A 12,434-nucleotide genomic window follows, 5' to 3' on the forward strand; every position below is an offset into this window, starting at 1 on the left:
AGGAAAACTTTTGTTTACAAAAAACGCTGTACACAAATGTCCATAACCTCTTTATTCATAATAACAAAATACTGCAACATACTAAAAGTTCTTTAACAAGTGAATGGCTAAACAAAGTATGTATGTATACAAAGTATACATACATAAACAAACTATGTCATTCTGGAAAGAACAAAACTATAGATAGTAAACAGTTTGCCAGGGTACAAGGAGGAGTGTTGGAATGGGGTGGGAACATAAAGGGATAGCAAGAGGAGTTTCCTTTGTGATGAGGCAATAGTTCTGGATCTTGGTCTTGGTGGTAGTTACATGAATTTATATATGGCATAAAATTGCTAGAACTGTGAACACACAAAAATAAGTGCAGGTTTAAAAAGCAGTGAAAATGATATAAATTCTGTAGTGTGGTTAACAGTAATATACCAATGTCAATTTCCTAGTTTTGATGTCTTACTAGAAATTTATTAAGATGTCTGGGTGAAGGGTACACAGGACTATGTACTAATTTTGCCACTTCCTGTGAGTCTATAATTTTTTCAAAATAAAGGTTTTTTCCTTTTTTTATATAGTAGGGACAGAGTTTCGCCATGTTTCCTAGGCTGTTCTTGAACTCCTGAGTTCAAGAGATTCACCTGCCTTGGTCTCCCATAGTGTAGGGATTACAGGCATGAGCCACTGTGCACAGCCCAGAATAAAGTTTAAAAAAAAAAAAATTAACATGTGAGGCCAGGTTCAGTGGTTCATGCTTGTAATCCCAGCACTTTGGGAAGCCAAAGCGGGAAGATCACGTGAGCCTAGGAGTTTGAGACCAGCCTGGGCAACATAGCAAGACCCCATCTCTATATAGAAACTAAAAAAAGAGAGAGGAGAGAGGGGTAAGGTGGAGGTACAGATGACATAAGCTTAGCCATTAATTGCTATATGAGAGTTCATAATATTCTATTTTTCATCATTTACGTTTTTCCATAATAAAAGGTTAATAAAAATATAAGAAAGCCATATACCAAAATATTAAAAGCAGTTTCTCTTGATTCCATTTTTCTTTATGCTAATATGCATTTTAAGTTTTTTCTATTAAATAAATTTCTTACATAAAATTTAAATTTTAAATTTCAAAATTTTTTTAAATTTCAATGTCATATATAAATTTTTAAGGAAATCTTTGCTCATATTGTCTTTTTGGAGATGTTCACTGCTCCTGCGGCCACACAAATCACACTCAGACATTCAGAGCCTGGAAAACTCAGTTCACTTTTTTTGTTTTGTTTTTAGGAAAAAAAATTAAACATAAAAGAACCCCATTGAGGGAACACTTATTCTATTTTATGGAATTGTTGCCCAATTCTTTAAAAAATTAATTTAAAAAAGAACCCCATTGATACTTCTTCTGACAATACACTGCTTAAGCAATCTGAAAATATTTCATGTAAATATCCAATTTGTATTTCCCCAATTACATTTCACCTGAAGGTTCCAGTTATCTTTTTCTAAAATTAACTAGGGGGTCTTGCTATAACAGATTTACAATCAGCACAATAATTCACCACTTTAGTGATCCTCACACAACAGAACAAATGTGTTAAGTTCAAGATACCCTAAGATGTTTCAGTAATTCTGGTTGAGTTTGCATTCAAAATTTTGCCTAAGCTATCATAACTAACTTTAATTGTTTTGTTTTAAAAATTGTATGTGGTCTTTTTAAATTTTTCAGACATTTTCTTAAAAAGCAGCCACTGAAAAGTTTACAGTGGTAACAACACCATGCTGAAGAATTCAAAAATATGTGTGAATCTGAAAAAGTAACTAATTCACTGAAAGACAATATTTCTCACAATGCGATTATTTAACATTGTAATTTGATTAAATTTATCTGTATCAAGCAAAAGTGATGCCACACCCTTTCCCTCAGCAATGATTTAAACTAAGAAGTAGAGGTAATAAGAGACCTGAGCTCTGCATTATCTGTCCAACCTTGGGTAAGTCACCATCTCTCCATAACTCAATGTCTTCATCTACATACTGAAGGAGTTATACTTGTTAATCTTCCAGCTCCACAATCCTGTGTTCTAATGTTCTAATATATACTTCATAACCTTTGACCCATGATCATTCTAATGACAACATTGGAAAAAGATTTATAATATACATGATATAGAGATATCAATTAGATTACAAATAACTTTCATAGGTTTAAATCATTTGGGAGAATGTTATTCTCAATACATCAGATCAGGGTTTTGTCAACATCAGCACTACTGACATTTTGCAGTGGATAATTTCTTTGTCATGGGGACTGTCATATGCATTGTAGGAGGTTTATCTACCCACTAGATGCCAGTGGAACCCCCTCAGCGTGCTGACCAAAAATGTCTCCAGACGTTTGACAAAATCACCTCTGGTTTGAGAACTATTGCATTCGATTTAAAATGTCCAGGGTTTCCAGACAAGGGAAAAAGAAGAAGACTGTTTTTGTTTTGTGATATAGGAGGAATGGCATAAGAAAAGACAGGAATGTTTTCCAGCAAAACAAAAGGTCGGGCTGGGCACAGTGGCTCACATGTGTAATCCTAGCACTTTGGGAGGCCGAGGCAGGAGGATAGCTTGAGGCCAGGTGTTTGAGACCAGGCTGCTCAACACAGTGAGACCCCAGTCTCTATTTAAAAAAAAAAAAAAATTGCAACTCACATACTAGAAAAAGGTACCCTCTTGTATGAGGCCTAATGAAAACATTAATTAAATATTGTTGTGTGTGGCTAATGTAGTAACAATGAGAATAAAAGTATATAAGCTATGGGGAAATCCATAGGTATTCCATCCATGCCTTGTAAAGAATCCTCAATAAAGAGGTCCAAACGTTTTCAACAGAGATTAATGACATTAACTTAATTCCTCTTCTCCCTAGCATTTCAAGGAGGCTAAAAGTGCTCAAGTTACTTACTCCCTATTCTAACCACTGAGAACACTCGCATGAAAAATATATCTTCCCCCCGTTAAAAACCATAAGCATCTGCCTGTTGTAATCAAATGTAAATGTGGTACAAATCCCACTAGAAGTACCACTGGGTAATATACTCAAGTCCTCTGTTTTTAAAGAAAGGCCAAAGAAATCCAGTGTGGAGAAATTACTTTTAAATGTTTTAACAGAAAAGTAAACGTTCACACGTTCATTTTTTGGCTCAGCCCTATTTTCCACCAAACAGACAAACACCCAGTTTCCTTAGTCTATTCTGGGATTGGTCACCAGACTGGGCATAAGAGACCCAGAGTCTATTCCAGCTCCAAAACAGACTGGTAATCTCAAGCAAATTATTCACTCAGGTTAAGGTTCTATACCTGTATCATGCTAACAATACTGAAAATCTGCCCAGAAACAAGCACAGAGAAACCCAGGACTTCCTCCTGCACCCAAAGGACAACTGCAAATATATTTTTAGATTTATTAAATCTAAAAATCTGAATAGGATTTTATTTATAGCAACATTTCAACATACTTGAAATTTCCAAACTGAGTGGTGCCTTTACCACTGCCCTCTATAAAATTAAGAAACGCTCTTGTTTAATCACACCATGCCTAATTTTGCAAAATTCTTCATGTAAACTCAACAAATCACAATTATTATATAAAACAAAAAGCTGTTTTAAATGCAAGCTGTTGGAAAGAGCTTCAACTTTTGCATTTCCAACTCTAGCTTTCATTCTACTGCACAAGTAGTTCTTTCCTGGCATCGTAAAAGGTGTTTCACAAAGTCTGGAGAGCAAAAGTTTGCCCCACAGCCCAATTCTGGAAAGGCCTTAGGATTGTTCTTACCACTAGACAAGCAGGGTTTTTTAATATAAGGATACAGGTGTACATTTTTTGCTCTTAATACCCAGTAAAAAGCTGTCTAGTAAAGCAAGTTACCTGCTGACCTTTTCACAGACGTGAAACTGTAAACACAATGCAGTTCAACAGAAGATTTGTAAAAGAGGAATAAGAAGAAAAACGGGTGTCCATCATCAGCCTTCGGCGGCCCCCCCGCTGTCTGGCGGACACTTGTTAGTGGCTGCGGAGAAGCCACTCACAAAGTTTCCCATCCCGTTGAGGGAAGGGGTCCTGACTGCGCCAGCGGGGCAGGCCCAGAAGGCGCGGTATCTGGGAGGTCCGGCCGCCGCAGACGACCCCGCCGAGGCCCAAAGTGCGCCAGCTTCTCCGCGCCCCTCCGCCTCCTCCTCCTCCTCCTCCCTGCAGAGGGGCGCACGCGCACAGACACACGCACGCACGCACGCACTTACACACAAAAGGAAGTCATGGAAGGTGCTGGTCCCTGCATACAGGCACACTCGCGCGGGACACACACACACCCCCCAAAAAGAGGCGTGCGGGGTTCGCCAGACGGTGGGCAAAAGCCCGTCCTCCCCCCCTTCCAGGGCCTGCTCACTTCAGGGAGCGCCCACTCGCCCAGCCACGGGCCAAGAGCGCACGGACCCAGGCGGGCGGCAGCCCACCCGCCACCACGCAGCTCCACTTCGCTGTTCCACAGCCACCAACCGCACAGCCGGCACAGTCCCGCCCGCGCAGCTGGCCCAATCGGGCCTGGGCTGCAAAAGCCCAGGGAATATGAGGGCTCCCTACTTCCAAGTTTCTTTAATAAAAATATTACATTTAATGATGCTTGTCAATATCCTCACCTCTACAAACCAAGGCCTGTTTAAGCCCCTTTCCTTAAAGAACCAGTTATCAATAGTATCCAACAAAACGCTGCAGAACACAGCTTTGTATTATCACACAGCCTGACAGTAAGAAATCTCTTTCAGTAGCCTCCGCCTTAATCCTTCCTCTTACTCTAACTTTTCCACACCCTAATTTACTCATTTTAGTTTTTTCTTGCCTTGCTTGTTTTATATTGTTCCCAAAAGAAATCTTCTCTAAACCATCTTTCCATTTTACTTTTCTAATACTTGAAGTAACAAGCTTCATAAATCGGACCGGCGCGGGGACTCAGGCCTGTAATCCCAGCACTTTGGGAGGCTGAGGCGAGCGGATCACGTGAAGTCAGGAGTTCAAGACCAGCCTATCCAAAATGGTGAAACCTCATCTCTACTAAAAATACAAAAAATTAGCCGGGTGTGGTGGCGGGCACCTGTAATCCCAGTTATTCAGGAGGCTGAGACAGGAGAATCGCTTGAACCCAAAAGGCAGAGGTTGCAGTGAGGCGTGATAACGCCACTGCACTCCACTCTGGGCAACAGAGCAAGATGCCATCTCAAAAAAGAAAAAGAAAAAAAAAAGCTTCATAAATCACTTCCATGATATCTCCCACTTTAGCTATTCAAAATCTCTCCACAACTTTTATAATTTTTTATCAGCTCCTACCAAATCAATACATAAATAACTTTCTCAAACACTGCGTTTTTCTTGTCTGTTCTCATTTCCTCAAAGCTAACACTCTCCAACTTACACAAATTTGCCCCAAACTGCCATCAAAGTTTGTGCATCTATTCCAGAAGCCCCTATGGCTACAGAAAAATCTGTTTCCTAGGCTCGTCCCCAAAACCTTGAAAATGACCTTTCCAAATATTCTGTAACAATTCATTTAACTCATTCATAACTCAAAACTAGTTCCACTACTAGTCCCACTTCCCTTAAAACTAATTATACAACCTAATCAAATAAACAAATTTTAATATTATATGTATCTACACATACAGGTGTGTACATATGACAAGTACACATATACAGGGGCCTGCAGAACAGCAAGTGTGCATTTCATTCTAATCTCTTGGATATTGGCTCTTCTCAATTTTACAGGGAAAACTTCTCCATGCCACCCTAGATGTTCAAAGGTCAAACCCCTGTATTGTGAAGACATTTATCTATGTTGAATTAATATAGTTATCATTTAAAACACACTTCTCTCCATGTCTACTATAATCCTTCCCATCACCTTCTTTAAGATACTCATCATTGGCCTAACCCACACAATCCACCCAAATATTCAGAATATGCTCTCCCTCAACAAGGTCCAGTCTGAGGCACATCCTAAAAACAACTCTAGACTGAATCAGGCAGGGCTGCTACATGATGGTACAGCCAAGTTTCATGAGTTGAGCAAAGTGAGAACCCTGGGCCCTCTCAGGCCTTCAACACTCTGAGTCTCCAGAGATCTTTCATTATTAAATTTGGTGGCTAAACAGATGTAGAAGTTAAGGCAGGAAGAAAGTGATGAAAGCCCAGGGCTAAATCCTGGAACTAATCCTGAAGCAAAGCTACACTAGGATGGAACACCAATACTACGTATTTTGTGCCTTGTCATATTTTTCTCACTGCCATTTCATGTTTCTACATTAAATATGCTTTCTCTCTCTCTCTCTGAAACATGAACATCAAAAACTCTGATATGGGCCATGCACAGTGGCTCATGTCTATAATCCCAGCACTTCAGGATTATTAAAGTCATTATAGACAAAAAAGAAAGTAAAGAGTCCACTTTAGTTCCCTTAGGACATCTCATTCTTACCATGTGCCCCATTCTTCCACATTTTACCCGAATCTCTTTACTTATGCAAGTTTTTGCCAGTTTTTGCAAACAGAAAACATGATGTGGTTCTCAAGCACACAAATAGAGATCTCAATGTCTCTATCACTGACAATATTTTTTTAAAAGCTGGCATGACATACTGCCACCTTTTATCATGGGTGGCATAGACTGTTCTTATTTGCACAGAGAAAGAATAGGTTTCTGACATCAGTTATTTCCTGCTCACTTCAGCGAGCGCCCACCTGCCTGCCCTGCCATGGGCCAAGAGCACACAGACCCAAGTGGGCGGCAGCCCACCCGCCACCATGCAGCTCCACGCCGCTGCTCCACCAGCTGCTAAGTGCACCGCCAGCACAGGCCCGCCCATGCAGCTGGCACAACTGGGCCTGGGCTGCAAAAGCCCAGGGAATACAAGGGCTCCCTACTTCCCAGTTTAATAAAAATATTACACTTAATGATGCTTGTCAATATCCTCGCCCCTACAAACCATGGCCTGTTTAAACCCCTTTCCATATGTTCTCTCCATATTTTCTCTGCTGCAAGCTACTCTCTCCTCTCTTATGCCTACAACTTCAACTTCCTCATTCATTTCCAGTCCATCTATTTACCAGATCCTATCAGCTTCTCCATGTTCTATTGTCAACAAACAATAGAACATCTTTTGTCTTTTACCTTCATCTTTTTTTTTAGACAGGGTTTTTGTATTTTTTTGATTTTTTTAGACAGGGTCTCACTCTGTGGCCCAGGCTGAGCGCAGTGGTGCAATCATGGCTCACTGCAGCCTTGACTTCCAGGGCTCAAGTGATTCTCCCACCTCAGCCTCCTGAGTAACTGGAACTATAGGTGTGCACCACCATGCCCAGCTAATTTTTTATTTTTGTGTAGAGACAGGGTTTCCCTATGTTGCCCAGGCTGGTCTCGAACTCCTGAGCTCAAGTGATCCTCCTGCCCCTGCCTCCCAAATCACTGGGATTACAGGTGTGAGCCATCATACTCAGCTTACCTTATCTTTAATACACCTCCACCTCATCTTTTGTTTCCAATGTCTCATTTCTTAACCCACAAATATCTTTCAGCTAAATTTATATCAGCATATTACACATGAATGGTTATGATTTTGCAAGTATTATTTATTTTATAAACAAACTGTTGGGAGGCCAAGGAGGGAAGATCGCTTGAGACCAGAAGTTTAAGACCAGCCTGGGCAACATAGGAAGACCACATCTCTTTAAAAAAAAAAAATTAAAATTAAAATTAAAAAATTAAAAAATATATATATACATATATATAGAAAAGAAAAGCCAGGTATGGTGGTACACATATGTAATCCCAACTACTCAGAAGGCTGAGGCAGGAGAATTGCTTGAGCCCAGGAGGCAAGGCTGCAGTGAGCCATGACTGGACCACTGCACTCCAGCCTGGGTAACAGAGAAGACCCTGTCTGAAAAATTAAAAAATAATAATAATAAGAGAACTGGTAAATGTAACAAATCTAGCTATTTTTCTCAATTCCCGTGGCTCAATGATTCCAATCACTATCAACTCTTGCCCAATTATTGTGACCACCTGTCTCATCTTACCTGGCTTTTCCTGGACAATCTGCTTCTCTCATGACTAGCTATATCATTCTCCTACTCCTTCAGCTTGATAAAAAAGGACTTGCTGCTTCTTGCTCCCCAGGACCACTCCCTGTTATCCTATCACTAAAAAATCGCTTGGGAGTCACATTACTCACTGAAACCATTCCTTCTGCAACATCTACCAACCTCCAGAACACCCTCCTATTTCCCCTACCCAATAACTTCAATTCTGCTTGCTCCCAAATTCAGCCATTATTCTCAATGACTTCAACAAAGATGCTCAAGAACTTTCTACACCCTGACCTTCAAAAACTCCTAAGACCTTCATCTGCACTTCAGCTAGCCACAAAGAAACAAAACAGAGCCATCAACTGAAAAGTGCTAGGCCGGGTGTGGTGGCTCACGTCTGTAATCCCAACACTTTAGGAGGCCAAAGCAGGTGGATCACTTGAGGTCAGGAGTTCGACACCAGCCCTGGCCAACATGGTGAAACCCTGTCTCCTTTAAAAATACAGAAAATTAGCCGGACATGGCGGCTCATGCCTTAATCCCAGCTACTTGGGTGGTTGAGGCAGGAGAATCACTTGAACCTGGGAGGCAGAGGCTGCAGTGAGCCAAGATTATGCCACTGTACTGCAGCCTGGGTGACAGAGCGAGACCCTGTCTCAAAAAAAAAAAAATAGTTACAATCCACTAGGATTGTAACTTCAGAGACCACCCCCCTTTTCTTTATCCACAACTACTTTATGTTCTAGTTGTAGACCTGCTCTTTACCTCCACTTGGCTTTATTGTCTCCCTATATAATTTAAACCTGTCCAACAGCCATTTTAACACTGTCCTCTCCAGAATATCATGACCTTCCATTATTCTCACTATGCATCTCCCCAGTGATAGACAATCCTCACCATCTGTTTTCTCCATGCCCACGCACTGGGTGTTAAGCACCACCAGAAAGCTATGAAATCTTCCACAACAGATTTATTCTAAATACAACTCTCCGTCTCATTGACTAATCCAAATCATTTTCATATTTAAATCCCTAATTCCAACAAATACTCGAACCCTTCTATAAAATTCCCTCAAATCACACCTTCTCCACCTGTAATCAAATCCTCTTCACAGCTTCTAAAATGCTGTAACTTCATCCATCTGTTACTTCTTGCCTCCAGTTTTAGAATAAGAGTTGTTGTTCTTCCTTCTCAAACTAAACTTCTTTAATCAATTCCTGTATTTATTGCTTCCATATTCTTCCAACCCACTCAGTAAACCACCATGCACCCTGGTCTCTGAACTGCTCTCTTGAAGACCACAAAAAAAAACAAAAACTAAAAAATCTATGTTCCAAATCATATGATCCCCCACCAAAGTCCTTACCCTTTTTTTGTTTTTGTTTTTGTTTTTTTTTTGAGACGGGCTCTTACTCTGTCACCCAGGCTGGAGTGCAGTGGTTCAATACCAGCTCACTGCAACCTCCGCCTCCCAAGCTCAAGTGATCCTCCCACCTCAGCCCCCCAAGTAGCTGGGACTACAAGTGCGCGCCACCACACCCAGCAAAGTTTGTTATCTTTGGTAGAGATGAGGTTTCATCATGTTGCCCAGCATGGTCTCGAACTCCTGAGCTCAAGCAATATGCCCACCTCAGCCTCCCGAACTGCTGAAATAACAGGTATGAGCTACCATGCTTGGCCAGTCCTTACCCTCTTTTTGGCAATGACACTTAAGCTACCCACCTTGCTTTATGTCACTGTAATGATTCTACTCTGACCTCTCTGGTTGTTTCTTCTATCTGAAATCACTGCTGCTCTTCCTAGCCCAAATTGTGGATATTTTCCCAAGGTCTGACCTGGAGCCTCCTATAATTCTCAGCCACTGAGGGTCTCATCCCTCACCACTGTTTCTACATTTTCATTCTTCATATGGCTGTCTTCCCCCAGCTACCCAAAATAATCTTTAAACCATCACCCTCTCCTACAATCCAATTTACTCCTGAGGAATTAGAATATATAATGATTTCTTTTTAACTAGAATTGGAATGCATAATGATTTCTTTTTAACTAGATTCTTCAACTATTACTTCAATTAACACTTCAATTATCAGTCCAAATAATTTCATAACCGTCAGTGCCCTAACTAAATCCAAAATTAGTAGCTATATAATTATCAACTCTATGTATGTATTCCCAACTCTATATTGGACTTCTTTTCTTAGCTCCAATCCAGTACTGATGCCTCACACACAGGTCAATGTGTCTTAAAACCCCAAAACAGTTCTGCTAAGTGATCTAATAATTTCTACTAATGGCACCATCAATCTCAGTCACCCAGATTAAAAGCCCTAGAGCTTTTCTTCAGTTTTCTTTTTCTCTACTGTTTCCCAAAAGCCTATCTGCCATCAAACCTTCCCATTCTTTCTTTGAGGTATTTCTTATAGCTATCCCTCTCCTTTTATTCCCACTATGACTACCCAACTTATACCCTCAATACTTCACACTTTTTTTTTTTTTTTTTGAGACAGGGTCTCCCTCTGTCACCCAGGCTGGAGTGTAGATTTCAGCTCACTGCAACCTCTGCCTTCTGGGTTCAAGTCATTCTCCTGCCTCAGCCTCCCGTGCACCTGGAACTACAGGCATGTGCCACCATGCCCCGCTAATTTTTTTATCTTTGCAGAGACAAGGTTTCGCCATGTTGCCTAGGCTGGTCTCAAACTCCTGAGCTCAAGCAATCTGCCTGCCTCAGCCTCCCAAAATGCTGAGATTACAGGCATAAGCCACTGTGTCCAGCCTACTTCACACTTTTTCCTAACTTTGTCTCCCAGTCACCAGGTTCTCTTCATTACAAAAAGAGAAAGGTCACCAGATTAGTATTCTTAAATAGTCTCTTATTTACCCGTTCAAAAATCAACACTGGTTCTCCACTGCATACTGACTTAAGTTAAAACTCCTCAGACTTCAGCCAGGTATGGTGGCTCATGCCTGTAATCCCAGCACTCTGGGAGACCGAGGTGGGCAGATCACTTGAGGTGAGGAGTTTGAGAAAAGCCTGGCCAATATGGCAAAACCCTGTCTCTACTAAAAATGCAAAAATTAGCTGGGCGTGGTGTCACATGCCTGTAATCCTGGCTACTAGGGCGGCTAAGGTAGGAGAATAGCTTGAACCCAGAAGGCGGAGGTTGCAGTGAGCAGACATCGCACCACTCCAGCCTGGGTGAGTGAGACTCTGCCTGAAAAAAACAAACAGAACACCTCAGACTTCAAAAAACTTGAAACCATCCAATAATCATGGAATAGATAAATACACTGTGGTATATTCATATGATAGAATACCACACAGCAATGAAAAAAGAATAAACAGCCAAACATAACATGGATAAAACTCACAGACATGCTCCTTGAGAAAAAGGAACTAGACACAGAAATTGGGTTCCACTTATACAAAATTCAAAAACACACAACACTACTCTGTTATGACAAAAGTCAGAATAATAGTTATTTTTGGTTGGATGAGATATCAGCTTGGAAATGGCACATGAGGCATCCTTCTGGAAGTCGGAAATGTCCTGTATATTGAACTGGGTGGTGGCTACATAAATTTATACCTAAGTGCCCTTAAGATTGGAGCACTTTACTGTATTTATCTCAATAAATACATTTTCAAAATCCAAGTTAGCCTGAATTTTTGAGATAGTCTGCCTACTTCCCAGCTTTATTTCCCTCCATTCCTCAACATGAACCCTAAATTATAGCTAATCTAGACCACCAACCCCTAAACATGTCCTGAACTTTGCTCACTGTCACTCATATCACTCCTTCTTCTAGGAAAGCCAACCCTCACCTTCTTGCCTATTATCTTATTTATCCTTCAAGGTCTAAGCTTCGCACCAATTTCTCCACAAAGCCAACCTTGAACAAACCTGCCACAGTACTTGTGTCATAGATGGATGTGTATGTTTTGTCCCTGGATAAATTCCTGAAGAACACGGACTGTGTCATATATAAACATGTATCCTTCACACTCCCTACCATAGAACCTTGCACATGGTAAATATAAAAATATACCCTGAATGAATAAATTCTGGCAGTCCATTGCATACAGTAAATATAAAAATATACCCTGAACGAATAAATTCTGGCAGTCCATCAAAGTATCCTCCAGTCTAACCCTCCTTCTCACATCCACCCATCACTGCTTCTACTCACAATTCATCCCACAGTCCACGTATTTAGTTTCTATCATTCAACAAATAATTGAGCACCTACTACATGAAAGAAACTAAAATTATACTCTAATGTACTGCACTAAACTACCCAAAAATATAATCCAATTTCAGCTGCTGCC

At 40.7% G+C, this 12,434-nt stretch overlaps 1 protein-coding gene across 13 annotated transcripts in view; it reads right to left on the reverse strand.

The window, feature by feature from the left end:
* ZNF148 (zinc finger protein 148) overlaps nt 1-12,434 on the reverse strand; it is a 149,686-nt gene that overhangs the window by 127,399 nt on the left and 9,853 nt on the right. Inside the window, exon 1 of one of the 13 annotated variants that reach the window (NM_001348433.2) lies at nt 3,910-4,213. The exons of the other annotated variants lie outside the window; for them this stretch is intronic. The gene's annotated coding sequence lies outside the window, so the exon portion shown is untranslated. Of the gene's footprint in view, nt 1-3,909; nt 4,214-12,434 lie in introns of those variants that run through there. 13 annotated transcript variants of the gene reach the window in all.

The sequence above is a fragment of the Homo sapiens genome, chromosome 3, assembly GCF_000001405.40.
Source record: "Homo sapiens chromosome 3, GRCh38.p14 Primary Assembly".
Classification (NCBI taxonomy): Eukaryota; Metazoa; Chordata; class Mammalia; order Primates; family Hominidae; genus Homo; species Homo sapiens.